The sequence below is a fragment of the Homo sapiens genome, chromosome 19, assembly GCF_000001405.40.
Source record: "Homo sapiens chromosome 19, GRCh38.p14 Primary Assembly".
NCBI lineage: Eukaryota > Metazoa > Chordata > Mammalia > Primates > Hominidae > Homo > Homo sapiens.
In genome coordinates, this window is record NC_000019.10 from 53,907,905 (window position 1) to 53,925,816 (window position 17,912).

Consider the following 17,912-nt stretch of genomic DNA (forward strand, 5'->3'; position numbering starts at 1 on the left):
ATCACTGAGAGTGCCAGGTGGCGACCCCCGCGCAGAGACCCAGCGCGTCCGTGTTCACCAGAGCAGCCACGCAAGCTCACATGCACCCCCAGGCTCAGACACCGGGGAGAAGTCCTTCCCAAGCGGGGAGATCACAGTCTGGCCTCTTCTTGAGAGACCTAGAGACCTGATCAGAGGAAGAGACCCCCACGCCAGAGCAACCAAAAACAGCCAGAACCCGAGAGCCTAGGAATCGGCGACGGAGGCACACGGCAGGCAGACGCGCCTTCTGGGCCTCTTTCCCTTGACCCACTTGAGAGTCTGGGGAGTGCCGGGGACCGTGCAGATGGACTACATTTCCCCGCAGGCCTCGCGGCAGACCCTTCCCCCAAGTGCGGCTCCTTGCCGCCAGGGCTGATGGGAAATGTAGTCTCCGGTCAGGGCCAGACCAGTGGAGCGGTGTGCCTTGTCTGTGTGTTTGGAGGGGACTGAGCCCCAAAGCTTCGCAGTCTTCCTTGCGGACCCGGGCACGTCTTCTTCCCTGCAGTCTCCTGGGTTTCCATGACCCGGTCCGGGTGGATGCTGGGGCTGCCCCTCTCTCCCTCATCACCGCCGCGACACCCCCATCCAGTGCCCGCAGGCCCCAGCCCCCGCTCCGACCCTCGGCGGGCGGCCTGCCCCTTTAAGAGTGGCCCCGCTGACATCACGGCGGGGGGGGGGGGTGGCCCGGCTCCTGGCTCCGCGGCGGCTGCAGGACCCGACTCCGCTCTGCGCCCGCCCGCTGCTGTAGGGACCCCGGCCCGGGACGCCCCCTCCCGCTTCCTGCAGCCGTCCAGACCCCAGGCTCCGCCCCAGGCCTGGCTAGAGCCCCAGTCCTCGTCAGGGGACCCCCAGGATTGTCCCTGCTGTCTCTCCTTCTCAGAGTCTCTCTCTGTCTCTCTCTGTCTCTCTGTCTCTCTCTCTCTGCCTCTGTCTCTGTCTCTTCTCCAAGCTCAAGGTCTCTGGGTCTCAGCATCTCTCAGCCCCAGGCCTCTGGGCGTCCCCCTGTCTCTTTCTGTCTCTTCCTGGTCTCTGACCTCTCCACTTCCCAGGCCTCAGAATCTCTGCGCCTAGGTGGTGAGGGGTGGTCTTAAACTCTGTCTCTCTCCCTCTTTGTCTCTCTCTGTCTCTGTGTCTCCTTCAGTCTCCAGACCTGAGTCCCTGGATTTCTCGGCCTCAAGGTCTCGGCGTGACTTTCTCTCTCTGCCCTGTCTCTCTTTGTGCCTCTGCCCCTCTCGGGCTCTCTGCCTCTGTTTCTATTCTCTCTCCCTCTCTGCCTCCCCCATCCTCAAGGCCCATCTCCCTCCCTCGCTGCATCCTTCCCCCCTTCCCTCCCCGCCCCTCCCCTCCTCCGCAGTAGCCAATGAGCGGCCGCCGGTTCCTGCTCCCGGCTCCGTCCGCCGAGTGAGGCCGCGGCCGCGGGGGGTGGGGGGTGGGAGGCCGGGAGGGGGCCGGGACGCCGGGCTCCGGGGCGGGGGCGGGGGGCGCGGGCACCGGCGACCCCGGTGGCGGCGGCGGCGGCCGGGGGAAGCCTCGGGGCCGGTCATGCGGCTGCGGGGCCCGCGGCCCGGAGCGTCCGCCCAGCCCTGAGCGAGGTGAGCGCTAGCGGAGGGTCCTGGGAGGAAGAAGGGGCGCCCCTCGAGGTGGCTGCGAGCCGGGTTTGGGGCAACAAGGGACCCGAGTGGCTCCAGGGGTGGTGAGATCCTGGCGGTCGGGACGCCCGAATTCGAGCGGCTATGGGGGATGCAGGGACACCTGGGCCTGGCGATCCCGGAGGACGGGGTCCGAGGGTCCCGGAGTGGGAAACTGCACTCCTCGCGTCCGAGTCGCAGCGAGCGTGGGCTGGGGAGGGCAGAGGCCGGGTCCCTGAGGAAGGCGAGGTACGGGGCGAGGGCGGAGGACCCAGGCCCGGCCAGAGCAGGATGTGGGTCTGGAAAGGGGTCCCAGAAAGGGGGAGTTACGGTCTCCCGAGAGATGGAGGAGAGATGGAGTTTGGGCTTAAGACTTGCAGAAGGGGACCCCGGAGATTCAAATGCCTGAATCCGGGAAAGGGTGGGAGAAAGAGGGAGAAGAGGAGGCTTCAGGCCTGGGGGGAGGGTCCCAAAGGAGGAAAGGCTGGAGGAATAAGGAGATCTGGGCGGGCCAGTGAGAGGGAGGAGGAATTGGAGCAAGGTTGGGTTTTAAAACGGGGTGCGAGAATGTGGAGAAGGGACGAGGTCCCAGCTGAGAGTCAGAGGGGCGAAAGGGGGAAGCTGAGATCGGCTACCTGGGATGGAGGCAGCCAGGGTGGCCAGGGTGATGGTGCCCGTTTCCGAGCCCACAGGGCTGCGAGGGGACCAGGCAGCTCGCGGTCAAACCCCTGAGCCGCCAGGCGGGGGATGGGAGGAAAAGCTGGCCAGAGCGTTCCCTGACTCCGGATCTCGGAGGCCTCCAAGAGGTTGGGGGGGAAGGAGGGGGGATCTGGAGGCTGGGAGTGCGGGGTGGAGCGGGGAGGAGTGAGGGTTGTCTCAGACTCCAGAGTCTTTATTCAGGTGGAGCAGAGTTGCAAGGTTAGAAGAATTCTGGTGAAGGAAAGTGGAGTTTTATGTCTTGATTAGTTTGTAGGGGAGAATGTTGAGGGGTCTCAACCTTCATAGTTAAAAAGATCCCGGGTATTCAGGGATGTAGAGGTCTCTGGTTGATAAAGGCTAAGGGTCCCAAGTTGAGACCCCCAAATCACGGGATTGCGTGGCTTGGGGAAAAATCTTGCAGGGGTCGGGGGAGAATCGTGGGTAAGGAATTTCAAGTCCTTGAGATCTGGGTTGAGGAGCTCCCTCGCTGGAATTTCTAGGTTCCTAAGTGGAATTGGGGAGGCCACAGAGATGAACTGGGATCTCCTGTTTGGAGTCTAATGTTATGAAATCGGGACTCCATGCTGGATGTTGAAGAAGATCTGTGATTGGAAGTCCCAGCATGGGAAACCGGGGTCCAGAACCTCTGGTAGGAAGTTTCAGATCGTGTGTTAGGGGAGGGGGTTTTGGGACTCCTGCTTGAGATTTTAGAGTTCAGGGCACTGAATCCTAGTTGGAAGGATGAGAGACCGTTGTTTGACTGGGGTGCTCTGATGAGGATGCTGGATTGGTGGTGGTGGTGGGGTCCAGCTCATTCATGATTTTTTTTTTTGAGATGGAGTCTCACTCTGTCACCCAGGCTGAAGTGCAATGGTGCTATCTCGGCTCACTGCAACCTTGCCTCTCAGGTTCAAGCTATTCTCCTGCCTCAGCCTCCTGAGTATCTGGGATTATAGGTGTGAGCCACCGTGCCCGGCTAATTTTTGTATTTTTAGCAGAGACAAGGTTTCACCATGTTGGCCAGGCTGGTCTCAAACTCCTGACCTCAAGTGATCCACCCACCTCAGCCTCCCAAAGTGCTGGGATTCCAGGTGTGAGCCACCTCACCCAGTCTCAGCTCCTGATTTTGATGTTCTGGAATCTGTAATCGAGATTCTGGTTCTATGTCTCTGGGTTCCAATGTTCTGGGACTCAGCAGACTGTGAAGATGTTCCAGGATTCCAGGTCCAGGAGCCTGCCTAGATCTGGGAGGGTGGAATTAGGGTTCTGGAGCTAGGTTCTGGAGTGAGGAGGAATTGGAGCAAGATTGGGTTTTAAGACGGGGTGCAAGAATGTGGAGAAGGGACGAGGTCCCAGCTGAGAGTCAGAGGGGCGAAAGGGGGAAGCTGAGATCGGCTACCTGGGATGGAGGCAGCCAGGGTGGCCAGGGTGATGGTGCCCGTTTCCGAACCCACAGGGCTGCGAGAGGACCAGGCAGCTCGCGGTCAAACCCCTGAGCCGCCAGGCGGAGGATGGGAGGATGTCATGTGTGATGTCATCTTAAATTGGGGTATCAAATGAGGTCAAGGCACAGGATCAGAGTTAGAAGGTCATGGGTCAAGTTCTTGGTGTTAGAATTGGGTGTTAGGCTCAAGATACAAATCTTGAGTGTAAACTTCAGTGGGGGCCTCTGCTCAAAGTCTTAGATAGGGCTGAGGTCAAGGGTGTGAAGCCCTGGTATGGGGTTAGAGATCCTTGGTTAGTGACCCACTTTGGGAATTTCTGGATGTAGTTCAGAGACAGGGTGCAAGAAAATGTATCAGGGCATCAGATTAGGGCATGGAGTTAAGACTGGGTAGCCTGGGTTAGAGTTTCTGGCCAGCTCAAGTTGTAGAGCATCCAGGGTTCAAGCCCAATGCCCTGTGCTCTGGGATCTAGGTCCTGGCTCAGAGTTGAGGTTATTGATCCTTGTTGGAGTCTGGTGTTCACAACCGGGGGCTTCGATCGTCACACAGAGACAGGGCTGCAGGATGCCAGGTCCTAGAGCTGAAATCATTGATCTGCCTAATAGTTTCTGAGTCACTGATCCACACTCAAGGTTAGGGACTCTGGTGGCATCTGATTTCTAAATTAGGGTCTCAGGTCAGCAGGTGAGGTTAGGTTTTGGCAGGGGGACCTGGTTCTGGGGTTAAGAAGCTCAAATTAGAATTTCTGCTCGGAGTCACAGTATTTGGGACCCAGGTCCAAACACGGTTGGAGCCAAGATTCAATCTCTGGGCCTGGGCTGAAAGTTGTGATTAGAAATCTAATTCTGGGGTTGGGGATCTGGATCTGGAGCTAGACCACAGGCAGCAGGTTTGGGGAGCCCAGCCCTGAGGCTGAGGCTCAACAGTTGGTGTCTCTGGTCAGACTCTAGGGTTGGGGTCATGGGTCAGGCCACGGAGGTCAGATCTGAGATTTCGATTTGGGAGTCAGTGTCTCTGGCTAGGGCCCAGCATCCCGGGTTGCTGCATGGGGTCAAGCACTCTGGTCGGTCCCATGGAGCTCTGCACTGTAGCTTCCCTTCCACAGGCCCCGCAGGGCGCCCCCTGCCTCTGAGGATGAGTCACTGCAGCAGCCGCGCCCTGACCCTGCTGAGCAGCGTGTTTGGTGCGTGTGGCCTGCTCCTGGTAGGCATCGCGGTCAGCACTGACTACTGGCTGTACATGGAAGAAGGCACAGTGCTACCGCAGAACCAGACCACCGAGGTCAAGATGGCCCTGCACGCCGGCCTCTGGCGAGTCTGCTTCTTTGCAGGTACAGCCCTCACCCGTCTTCCACTCAACAGTTTCTGCCTTGCCTGGGGTCTGAGAGTCTTAGCCATAGTCCCATCCCTTGAGTTCCAGAAATCCAGAAACGGATCCTGATTCTCTCCTGGAAGTTCAAATTTCTACGTGGAGCCCCAGTGACTAGCCCTTTATTCCTGGATCTAGGAGCCCCAATGCTCCAGGCCCCTAACCCCTAAGGAATTCTGGAGCCTTCCTTTAAAGTTTGTAGTCTAGGTTTAGAACTTGTCCCCTGCACAATTTCAGTGCTGAATGGGCAAGATTAAAAAAAAAAAAATGCATGGGACGGGCGCGGTGGCTCATGCCTGTAATCCCAGCACTTTGGGAGGCCAAGGCAGGAGTATCCCTTGAGCTCAGGAGTTTGAGACCAGCCTGGCCGACATGGTGAAACCCCGTCTCTACTAAAAATACAAAAATTAGCTGTATGTGGTGGTGCACCCCTGTAATCCCAGCTACTTGGGAGGCTGAGGCAGGAGAATCACTTGAACACGGGAGGTGGAGGTTGCAGTGAGCTGAAATCACACCACTGCCACTGCGCTCCAGCCTAGGAGACAGAGTGAGACTCCATCTCACTCTCCCTAGCTCTGACTGCTGGCATGCACCTGTAGTTCCAGTTATTCAGGAGGCTGAGGTGGGAAGATTGCTTGTGTCCAGGAGTTCGAGGCTGCAGTGAGCTATGACGGTGCTGCTGTACTCCAACCTGGGTGACAGAGCAAAACCCAGTCTCTTAAAAAAAAAAAAAAAAAAAAAAAGAAAATCTATACCTCCCAGGGACCACAAAGACCAATTCATTGTAAGAATCCTGGCTCCCCAGACCTCGTCCTCTTTAGGGACCACAAGTTCTGATCTACAGCCCCTTTGTTGCTTAAGACCTAGAGTTCCAGCCTTGTCCTCCTTCAAGCAGGAGTCTCTAGGGCAGTTAGAAAGAGGAGTTCCAGGCCAGGTGCAATGGCTTATGCCTGTAATCCCAGCACTTTGGGGGGCCAAGGCAGGTGGATCACAAGGTCAGGAGTTTGAGACCAGTCTGGCCAACATGGTGAAACCCCGTCTCTACTAAAAATACAGAAATTAGCCAGGCATAGTGGCGCATGCCTGTAGTCCCAGCTACTCAGGAGGCTGAGGCAGGAGAATCACTTGAACCTGGGAGGTAGAGGTTGTGGTGAGCCGAGATCGTGCCACTGCACTCCAGCCTGGGCAACAGAGTGAGACTCCATCTCAAAAAAAAAAAAAAGAAAAAAAGAAAAAGAAAAGAAAGAGGAATCCCAGACAGACATCCACCCACCCGCTTTCCCAACACCCCTGGAGTAGTACAGCTCGTAACCCTTGGGTTAGGCCTTGCTCCCCCATCCTGGGGTCTCCCCTCTATCTGTCCTGCCCCCACCCCCAGCCTCTCTAGAGCTTAGGAGCCTCTCATCCAGCCCTGTCTGTTTCTCTTCCCCCCAGGTCGGGAGAAAGGTCGCTGTGTGGCCTCAGAATATTTTCTTGAACCGGAGATCAATTTGGTGACGGAAAACACGGAGAATATTCTGAGTGAGGGGATGTGGGGGCACCTAGGCACAAGACAGCAAGATCACAGCCGAGTCGTGGAGTCCTGGGAGGGGGCAGGACTAGGGAAAGGGTGGGGTCCAAGGGAAGGAGGGGAGGCTTGAAAGAAGGCAGAATGGGCCAGGCATGGTGGCTCACACCTGTAATCCCAGCACTTTAGGAGGCTGAGGTGGGTGGATCACCTGAGGTCAGGAGTTCGAAACCAGCCTGGCCAACATGGTGAAACCTTGTCTCTACTAAAAATTCAAAAATTAGCTGGGCGTGGTGGCGCGTGCCTGTAGTCCCAGCTACTCAGGAGGCTGAGGCAGGAGAATCGCTTGAACCTGGGAGGTGGAGCTTGCAGTGAGCCAAGATTTCACCACTGCACTCCAGCCTGGGCAACTCACAGAGTGAGACTCTGTCTCAAAAAAAAAAATAAATAAAAGGAAGGAAGAAAGAAAGAAGGCAAGGCAGAGTGGTGGTTAGGTAAGGAGAAAGAGCAAGGTTGAAGGGGTGAGGTCCGGTTGGTGAGGAGCGGTCAATCAGAAAGGGGGCGGAGTTAAGCCCAAGGAGGTGTGGCCTGTGTGAGGGGGCGTGGCAGGCTTGTGTCTGCCGAGGAAATATCAGGGGAAGGAGAAGAGTCAGTGGGGAAGGGGAGGAGTCAGTAAGGAAAGGGAGGAGCCAAACAAAAACGCAGAGGTGGTGAGAGCAGAGGTCAAGGAATGGGGAAGTGTCCCACTGGAGATTCCCCCCTCACCCCTGTCTCTCCCCATCCCCTCCCCAGAGACAGTGCGCACGGCCACCCCCTTCCCCATGGTCAGCCTCTTCCTCGTGTTCACGGCCTTCGTCATCAGCAACATCGGCCACATCCGCCCGCAGAGGACCATTCTGGCTTTTGTCTCTGGCATCTTCTTCATACTATCGGGTGAGCCTAAGGACTTGGGGGTTGGGGGGGACCATTTCCAGTTCCAGGGACCTGTGGTTCCTTTTCCACTTAGCCACTTCCTTGCTGTGTGGCCTGGGAGGAGGTGCAGACCCTCTCTGAGCCCCACTTTCCTTCTATGTGCAATGGAAATAGCAGTGCCCATTGCAAAGCGTCCTTCAGAGGACCACATTATAGCGAGGGCTTACTGGGTGCTAATTAGGTACCAGGCTCTATTCTCACACTCGCAACAACCTTGTGAGGTAAATCCTATTAATAGCCCATTTTACAGATATGGAAACAGACACTCAGAGGGATGAAGTCATTTGCTTAGGGCCATACAACTAGTGAGAGGTAGAGCTGGGAATGAAACTCACGCAATTCGCCTCCGGAGGCTGTATTTTTAACCACTGCTGATAAACTGCAATTAACAGTTTACAAGGCTGCTTATTTTCTGTGCAATATTTTGTTTTAAATTTTTTCAAATAAATGGAAAAGTCCAAAGAACTGTATAGGGAACACCCATGTAGCCACCACTTAGAGTCAACCATTGACAGGTCACTAGACTTGCATGGTCTTGCGTCTGTCCATCTGTCTATATGTCCAACCATCCATCAATCCACCTTATTGTCTAGATGCATTTCAGAGTAAGTTTCAGGCATCACTACACTTCACCCTACTTACGTCATCGTACACGTGATTAGCTAGAGTTCAATATTTGTTTACAGTTTTTTTTTCCTTCTTTTGAGGCACAAGCCTCTTTTGCATATGTGATCTCACACCCGTCTCCTAACATCGCTACCCAGGAGTTATTATTAGCACTCACTTGATAACATGGGGGTACCAAGGCCCAGAATTGCATAGAGAGTTGCCCATAAGTACCAAGGCCCAGAATTGCATAGAGAGTTGCCCAAGATACTAGTGTAAACTATTTCCAGAGGACTTCAGTGTCCAGAGTTCCAGCAATGCCTTTTTTCTTTCTTTCTTTTTTTTTTTTTTTTTTTTGACTGAGTTTTGCTCTTGTTGCCCAGGCTGGAGTACAATGGCACGATCTCAGCTCACCACAACCTCTGCCTCCCGGGTTCAGACAATTCTCCTGCCTCAGCCTCCCAAGTAGCTGGGATTACAGGCATGTGCCACTACGCCCGGCTAATTTTCTATTTTTTTTTTTTTTTTTAATAGAGACGGGGTTTCTTCATGTTCGTCAGGCTGGTTTCAAACTCCCGACCGCAGGTGATCTGCCCACCTCGGCCTCCCAAAGTGCTGGGATTACAGGTGTGAGCCCCTGCGCCTGGCTTTTTTTTTTTTTTTTTGAGACGGAGTCTCCCTCTGTTGCCCAGGCTGGAGCCCACTGGCGTGATCTCGGCCCATTGCAACCTCTGCCTCCCGGGTTCAAGCGATTCTCCTGTCTCACCTTCCCGAATAGCTGGGATTACAGGTGTGTGCCACCATGCCCAGCTAATTTTTGTATTTTTAGTAGAGATGGGGTTTTGCCATGTTGGCCAGGCTGGTCTTGAACTCCTGGCCTCAAGTGATCCTCCTGCCTTAGCCTCCCGAAGTGCTGGGATTACAGGCATGAGCCACTGTGCCTGGCCTAAAGCTTTTTTCTTGAGTGTTACTCTCCTCCAAATTTCAACTCAGTCCAATCCAATTCAGTCCAATTCAGCTAAAATCAGCCCAAATCAACTCAGCTCGAGTACATTTAACTCCATCCATCCAACCCAGCTAACCCCAATTCATTCTGACTCAATTCTTCAGTTCATTTCAAATGAATTCAACATAATTTAATTAAACTCAAATCAGGTTCTTGTAATTCAGTTGATAGTTTATGAACAAACCCCACTGCATGTCTCAGCTCCATTCTGTCCCCTGGGGCCGGCACTCAGCTCCCTCTTTTCAGTGGCTGTGCAAATCGTTGAAAAGGGATCCTCCAACTAAGCAACTAAGATCCAAAGCACCTGATCCAATATCCTCTCCTCCAGTCTCTGCTCCTCACCCAGGCTCCTCTTGGTGCAACCTCCCCCATGCCTTCAACCTAACCTGAAGAGACCTTTTCCAGGGAAAGCAGGGTGCAACCTCCGTGCAAACTTGAATCACAGCGGGTGGAGCCCAGACACTGAGCTAAAATAAGACACGGAGAATATCACGATCCTAGAGTGTGAGAGCGGAAAGGTCTCATCATTTTTCAAATGGAAAAATAGTAGCCTAGAGACAAAAAGTGGGGCAAGAGTAGATAGCATGGGGATTTTTATTCAACCTGTCAAAATCATGATAAGGAAAGTCCCATTGTTTGCGGTTCACAGGAATGGAAACAGAGGCTCGAAGAGGCGACATAGCTTGTCAATGGCAGAACTGGATTGGAATCTAGGGTATTCTGATTCCTAAATCCATGCTTATACCACCCACTGCACCAGGAACTGACTGCCCAAGGTCATGCTGAGGATCAGTGGTGCAGGCAGGCTGGAAGTCACGTCTCTAGGGTAACAATAGAGTAATTCGGAAGAGATTGAATCCAACTGCCTGAATTCCTTCCTAGCATTCATTTCACAGGCTATGACCTATGCACTCCACCCCAAGGTATCCAGGCATGTGCTGCCAAGCTTGGGGTGTATAGTGGCTGAAGGCCACATGTTGTAAACCTAGGAAGAATTGGGTTCAAATCTTGCCTCTACCACTTACGGTTTGAACCAAAGCCTTCTTTTGTGGAGTTATTGAGGGGACAAATCTTGATCAGTGGTTGGCAAGCTTTTTCTGCTTAGGGCCAGATAGCAAATATTTTAGGCTACGTGAGCCATAGGTTCTCCGATGCAACTATTCAACTCTACTGGGATGCAACTTGGCCACTGTAGTACAAAAGCTGCCAGGTGTAAGCAAATGGGAGTGGCTATGTTCCAGTGACTATTTGTGGACTCTCAAATTTGAGTTCAATGTAATTTTCATGTGCATGAAATATTCTTCTTCTTTTGATTTTTTTTTAAATCAAAAGAAGAATAATAGGTAAAAATCCTGCTTAGCTCACAAACCATACAAAAGCAGGCAATGGGCCAGGTCATCATTTGCCAACCCCTCATTTAGATCATGAATGTAAAGCATCCGACCCACTGCCTGGACTGTAACAGTAAGCACTGAACACTTGTTGTTTTAAGTAAATAAATAAATGTAGTAATGATAGTAGTACTAGCGGTGGTGGTGCTGGTGCTGGTGATAGTAGCAGTAGTAGCAGTACGAGTAGTAACAAACAATTTTTGAATTTTTATTTTACTTTTTTATTTTTTATTTTTTTGAGATGGAGTTTCGCTCTCGTCGCCCAGGCTGGAGTGCAATGGCGCGATCTCGGCTCACTGCAACCTCCGCGTCCCAGGTTCAAGCGATTCTCCTGCCTCAGCCTCCCGAGTAGCTGGGATTACAGGCATGTGCCAGTGCACCCGGCTAATTTTTTGTATTTTTAGTAGAGACGGGGTTTCACTGTGTTAGCCAGGATGGTCTTGAACTCTCGACCTCAGGTGATCCGCCCGCCTCGGCCTCCCGAAGTGCTGGAATTGCAGGCGTGAGCCACCGCACGTTGCCCTTATTTTGATTTTTTAATTTTTCTCCCCTTCTGGCCAAATTTCAAATTTTCCCAACCCAGCCTCCTCACCATGGCATTATGCTGCCCCACCAAGATTAAGATCACAAAAAAGAAGGAGATTTAAAAGGAGAAGTTAAGGACAGAAATAGTACCAATGCCTTGGGACTTGGAATGGAATAGCCTGGGGTGACTGCCTCCTGTTCGCAATGAGGAAACCAGGCCTCAGAGAGAGAAAGACAGGGATTGCCCCAGACCTGGTCATTGGTGGAGTTGCCCAGGTCTGGTCATTGGTGGAGTTGTCCCAGGTCTGGTCATTGGTGGAGTTGTCCCCAGGCCTGGTCATTGGTGGACTTGCCCCAGGCTGGTCATTGGTGGAGTTGCCCCAGGCTGGTCATTGGTGGACTTGCCCCAGGTCTGGTCATTGGTGGAGTTGTCCCCAGGCCTGGTATTGGTGGAGTTGCCTCAGGTCTGGTCATTGGTGGAGTTGCCCCAGGCTGGTCATTGGTGGACTTGCCCCAGGCTGGTCATTGGTGGAGTTGCCCCAGGCTGGTCATTGGTGGACTTGCCCCAGGCTGGTCATTGGTGGAGTTGTCCCCAGGCCTGGTATTGGTGGAGTTGCCCCAGGTCTGGTCATTGGTGGAGTTGCCCCAGGCTGGTCATTGGTGGAGTTGCCCAGGTCTGGTATTGGTGGAGTTGCCCCAGGCTGGTCATTGGTGGACTTGCCCCAGGCCCGGTATTGGTGGAGTTGCCCCAGGTCTGGTCATTGGTGGAGTTGCCCCAGGCTGGTCATTGGTGGACTTGCCCCAGGCTGGTCATTGGTGGACTTGCCCCAGGCTGGTCATTGGTGGAGTTGTCCCCAGGCCTGGTATTGGTGGAGTTGCCCCAGGTCTGGTCATTGGTGGAGTTGTCCCCAGGCCTGGTATTGGTGGAGTTGCCCCAGGTCTGGTCATTGGTGGACTTGCCCCAGGCTGGTCATTGGTGGACTTGCCCCAGGCTGGTCATTGGTGGAGTTGCCCCAGGCTGGTCATTGGTGGAGTTGCCCCAGGCCTGGTCATTGGTGGACTTGCCCCAGGTCTGGTCATTGGTGGAGTTGTCCCCAGGCCTGGTATTGGTGGAGTTGCCCCAGGTCTGGTCATTGGTGGAGTTGCCCCAGGCTGGTCATTGGTGGACTTGCCCCAGGCTGGTCATTGGTGGAGTTGTCCCCAGGCCTGGTATTGGTGGAGTTGCCCCAGGTCTGGTCATTGGTGGAGTTGCCCCAGGTCTGGTCATTGGTGGAGTTTCCCCAGGTCTGGTCATTGGTGGAGTTGCCTCAGGTCTGGTCATTGGTGGACTTGCCCCAGGTCTGGTCATTGGTGGACTTGCCCCAGGCCGGTCATTGGTGGAGTCGTCCCCAGGTCTGGTCATTGGTGGAGTTGCCCCAGGTCTGGTCATTGGTGGAGTTGCCCCAGGCTGGTCATTGGTGGAGTTGCCCCAGGCTGGTCATTGGTGGAGTTGTCCCCAGGCCTGGTCATTGGTGGAGTTGCCCCAGGTCTGGTATTGGTGGAGTTGCCCCAGGTCTGGTCATTGGTGGAGTTGCCCCAGGCTGGTCATTGGTGGAGTTGCCCCAGGTCTGGTCATTGGTGGACTTGCTCCAGGTCTGGTCATTGGTGGAGCTGTCCCAGGCTGGTCATTGGTGGAGTTGCCCCAGGTCTGGTCATTGGTGGAGTTGCCCCAGGCTGGTCATTGGTGGACTTGCCCCAGGCTGGTCATTGGTGGAGTTGTCCCCAGGCCTGGTATTGGTGGAGTTGCCCCAGGTCTGGTCATTGGTGGAGTTGTCCCAGGTCTGGTCATTGGTGGAGTTGTCCCCAGGTCTGGTCATTGGTGGACTTGCCCCAGGCTGGTCATTGGTGGACTTGCCCCAGGCTGGTCATTGGTGGAGTTGCCCCAGGCTGGTCATTGGTGGAGTTGCCCCAGGCTGGTCATTGGTGGAGTTGCCCCAGGCCTGGTCATTGGTGGACTTGCCCCAGGTCTGGTCATTGGTGGAGTTGTCCCCAGGCCTGGTATTGGTGGAGTTGCCCCAGGTCTGGTCATTGGTGGAGTTGCCCCAGGCTGGTCATTGGTGGACTTGCCCCAGGCTGGTCATTGGTGGAGTTGTCCCCAGGCCTGGTATTGGTGGAGTTGCCCCAGGTCTGGTCATTGGTGGAGTTGCCCCAGGTCTGGTCATTGGTGGAGTTGCCTCAGGTCTGGTCATTGGTGGACTTGCCCCAGGTCTGGTCATTGGTGGACTTGCCCCAGGCTGGTCATTGGTGGAGTCGTCCCCAGGTCTGGTCATTGGTGGAGTTGCCCCAGGTCTGGTCATTGGTGGAGTTGCCCCAGGCTGGTCATTGGTGGAGTTGCCCCAGGTCTGGTATTGCTGGAGTTGTCCCCAGGCCTGGTCATTGGTGGAGTTGCCCCAGGTCTGGTATTGGTGGAGTTGCCCCAGGTCTGGTCATTGGTGGAGTTGCCCCAGGCTGGTCATTGGTGGAGTTGCCCCAGGTCTGGTCATTGGTGGAGTCGTCCCCAGGTCTGGTCATTGGTGGAGTCGTCCCCAGGTCTGGTCATTGGTGGACTTGCCCCAGGTCTGGTCATTGGTGGACTTGCCCCAGGTCTGGTCATTGGTGGAGCTGTCCCAGGCTGGTCATTGGTGGAGTTGCCCCAGGTCTGGTATTGGTGGAGTTGTCCCAGGTCTGGTCATTGGTGGAGTTGTCCCCAGGTCTGGTCATTGGTGGAGTTGCCCCAGGTCTGGTCATTGGTGGAGTTGTCCCAGGCTGGTCATTGGTGGAGTTGTCCCAGGCTGGTCATTGGTGGAGTTGTCCCCAGGTCTGGTATTGGTGGAGTTGTCCCCAGGTCTGGTCATTGGTGGAGTTGCCCCAGGCCTGGTCATTGGTGGAGTTGCCCCAGGCCTGGTCATTGGTGGAGTTGTCCCCAGGTCTGGTCATTGGTGGAGTTGTCCCCAGGCCTGGTATTGGTGGAGTTGCCCCAGGTCTGGTATTGGTGGAGTTGTCCCCAGGCCTGGTCATTGGTGGAGTTGCCCCAGGCCTGGTCATTGGTGGAGTTGTCCCCAGGTCTGGTCATTGGTGGAGTTGTCCCAGGCTGGTCATTGGTGGAGTTGCCCCAGGTCTGGTATTGGTGGAGTTGTCCCCAGGTCTGGTCATTGGTGGAGTTGTCCCCAGGTCTGGTCATTGGTGCAGTTGCCCCAGGTCTGGTATTGGTGGAGTTGTCCCCAGGTCTGGTCATTGGTGGAGTTGTCCCCAGGCCTGGTCATTGGTGGAGTTGTCCCCAGGCCTGGTCATTGGTGGAGTTGTCCCCAGGCCTGGTCATTGGTGGAGTTGTCCCAGGTCTGGTCATTGGTGGAGTTGTCCCAGGCTGGTCATTGGTGGAGTTGCCCCAGGTCTGGTCATTGGTGGAGTTGTCCCAGGTCTGGTCATTGGTGGAGTTGTCCCAGGCTGGTCATTGGTGGAGTTGCCCCAGGTCTGGTCATTGGTGGAGTTGTCCCAGGACTGGTCATTGGTGCAGTTGTCCCAGGCCTGGTCATTGGTGCAGTTGTCCCCAGGCCTGGTCATTGGTGCAGTTGTCCCAGGCTGGTCATTGGTGGAGTTGCCCCAGGTCTGGTCATTGGTGGAGTTGCCCCAGGTCTGGTCATTGGTGGAGTTGTCCCAGGTCTGGTCATTGGTGGGGTTGTCCCAGGCTCGTCATTGGTGGAGTTGCCCCAGGTCTGGTCATTGGTGGAGTTGTCCCAGGTCTGGTCATTGGTGCAGTTGCCCCAGGTCTGGTCATTGGTGGAGTTGACTCAGGCTGGTCATTGGTGGAGTTGCCCCAGGCCTGGTCATTGGTGGAGTTGTCCCAGGTCTGGTCATTGGTGGAGTTGCCCCAGGTCTGGTCATTGGTGGAGTTGTCCCAGGACTGGTCATTGGTGCAGTTGCCCCAGGCCTGGTCATTGGTGCAGTTGTCCCAGGCCTGGTCATTGGTGCAGTTGTCCCCAGGCCTGGTCATTGGTGGAGTTGTCCCAGGCTGGTCATTGGTGGAGTTGCCCCAGGTCTGGTCATTGGTGGAGTTGCCCCAGGTCTGGTCATTGGTGGAGTTGTCCCAGGTCTGGTCATTGGTGGGGTTGTCCCAGGCTCGTCATTGGTGGAGTTGCCCCAGGTCTGGTCATTGGTGGAGTTGTCCCAGGTCTGGTCATTGGTGCAGTTGCCCCAGGTCTGGTCATTGGTGGAGTTGACTCAGGCTGGTCATTGGTGGAGTTGCCCCAGGCCTGGTCATTGGTGGAGTTGCCCCAGGTCTGGTCATTGGTGGAGTTGTCCCCAGGTCTGGTATTGGTGGAGTTGTCCCCAGGTCTGGTATTGGTGGAGTTGTCCCCAGGCCTGGTCATTGGTGGAGTTGTCCCAGGTCTGGTCATTGGTGGAGTTGTCCCAGGCTGGTCATTGGTGGAGTTGCCCCAGGTCTGGTCATTGGTGGAGTTGTCCCAGGTCTGGTCATTGGTGGAGTTGTCCCAGGCTGGTCATTGGTGGAGTTGCCCCAGGTCTGGTCATTGGTGGAGTTGTCCCAGGTCTGGTCATTGGTGCAGTTGCCCCAGGTCTGGTCATTGGTGGAGTTGTCCCAGGCCTGGTCATTGGTGGAGTTGTCCCAGGTCTGGTCATTGGTGGAGTTGCCCCAGGTCTGGTCATTGGTGGAGTTGCCCCAGGTCTGGTCATTGGTGCAGTTGCCCCAGGTCTGGTCATTGGTGGAGTTGCCCCAGGTCTGGTCATTGGTGGAGTTGCCCCAGGCCTGGTCATTGGTGGAGTTGCCCCAGGCCTGGTCATTGGTGGAGTTGCCCCAGGTCTGGTCATTGGTGGAGTTGTCCCCAGGTCTGGTATTGGTGGAGTTGTCCCCAGGTCTGGTATTGGTGGAGTTGTCCCCAGGCCTGGTCATTGGTGGAGTTGTCCCCAGGCCTGGTCATTGGTGGAGTTGCCCCAGGCCTGGTCATTGGTGGAGTTGTCCCCAGGTCTGGTCATTGGTGGAGTTGTCCCCAGGTCTGGGTATTGGTGGACTTGCCCCAGGTCTGGTTATTGGTGGACTTGCCCCAGGTCTGGTCATTGGTGGAGTTGGTCCCAGGTCTGGTCATTGGTGGAGTTGTCCCAGGTCTGGTCATTGGTGCAGTTGCCCCAGGTCTGGTCATTGGTGGAGTTGCCCCAGGTCTGGTCATTGGTGGACTTTCCCCAGGTCTGGTCATTGGTGGAGTTGCCCCAGGCCTGGTCATTGGTGGACTTGCCGCAGGTCTGGTCATTGGTGGAGTTGTCCCCAGGTCTGGTCATTGGTGGAGTTGTCCCCAGGCCTGGTCATTGGTGGAGTTGCCCCAGGTCTGGTCATTGGTGGAGTTGTCCCAGGTCTGGTCATTGGTGGAGTTGTCCGAGGTCTGGTATTGGTGGAGTTGTCCCCAGGCCTGGTTATTGGTGGAGTTGCCCCAGGTCTGGTATTGGTGGAGTTGTCCGAGGTCTGGTATTGGTGGAGTTGCCCCAGGCTGGTCATTGGTGGAGTTGCCCAGGCTGGTCATTGGTGGACTTGCCCCAGGCTGGTCATTGGTGGAGTTGTCCGAGGTCTGGTATTGGTGGAGTTGCCCCAGGTCTGGTATTGGTGGAGTTGCCCCAGTTCTGGTATTGGTGGAGTTGCCCCAGGTCTGGTCATTGGTGGACTTGCCTAGGGCTGGTCATTGGTGGACTTGCCTAGTGCTGGTCATTGGTGGACTTGCCCCAGGTCTGGTCATTGGTGGAGTTGCCCCAGGTCTGGTCATTGGTGGACTTGCCCCAGGCTGGTCATTGGTGTACTTGCCCCAGGTCTGGTCATTGGTGGAGTTGCCCCAGGTCTGGTCATTGGTGGAGTTGTCCCAGGCTGGTGATTGGTGGTGTTGTCCGAGGTCTGGTATTGGTGGAGTTGCCCCAGGTCTGGTATTGGTGGACTTGCCTAGGGCTGGTCATTGGTGGACTTGCCCCAGGTCTGGTCATTGGTGGAGTTGCCCCAGGTCTGGTCATTGGTGGACTTGCCTAGGGCTGGTCATTGGTGGACTTGCCTAGGGCTGGTCATTGGTGGACTTGCCCCAGGTCTGGTCATTGGTGAAGTTGCCCCAGGTCTGGTCATTGGTGGACTTGCCCCAGGCTGGTCATTGGCGGACTTGCCCCAGGTCTGGTCATTGGTGGAGTTGCCCCAGGTCTGGTCATTGGTGGAGTTGTCCCAGGTCTGGTCATTGGTGGAGTTGTCCCCAGGCCTGGTCATTGGTGGAGTTGCCCCAGGTCTGGTATTGGTGGAGTTGCCCCAGGTCTGGTATTGGTGGAGTTGCCCCAGGTCTGGTCATTGGTGGAGTTGTCCCAGGCTGGTCATTGGTGGACTTGCCACAGGTATGGCCATTGGTGGAGTTGCCCCAGGCTGGTCATTGGTGGACTTGCCCCAGGCTGGTCATTGGTGGAGTTGTCCCAGGCTGGTCATTGGTGGACTTGCCCCAGGTCTGGTCATTGGTGGACTTGCCCCAGGCTGGTCATTGGGGGAGTTGCCCCAGGTCTGGTATTGGTGGAGTTGGCATTCAATTGTGGAGAAACCAGTGGAAGGGCTCAGGCAGGAGGATTACGGTCACAGCTGCGCATTAAATGTCTCACAGGGACCTCTGCTGGGGATGGACTAGAGGGAAAGAGACTGGAAATGTACAAACTGAGGATGCTTGTGTAGTGGCCCAGGCCGTAGCAGATAAGGTCTGTGCTGGG

At 55.4% G+C, this 17,912-nt stretch overlaps 1 protein-coding gene across 2 annotated transcripts in view; it reads left to right on the top strand.

Annotated features, from left to right (window-relative positions):
- CACNG7 (calcium voltage-gated channel auxiliary subunit gamma 7) overlaps positions 1,374-17,912 on the top strand; it is a 34,673-nt gene continuing 18,134 nt past the window's right edge. For both annotated transcript variants that reach the window (NM_031896.5, NM_001384801.1), the window contains exons 1-4: positions 1,374-1,613; positions 4,899-5,123; positions 6,596-6,682; positions 7,461-7,601. In NM_031896.5, coding sequence (NP_114102.2) covers positions 4,928-5,123; positions 6,596-6,682; positions 7,461-7,601 — 424 coding nt within the window. In that variant the 5' untranslated portion in view covers positions 1,374-1,613; positions 4,899-4,927. The remainder of the gene's footprint in view (positions 1,614-4,898; positions 5,124-6,595; positions 6,683-7,460; positions 7,602-17,912) is intronic.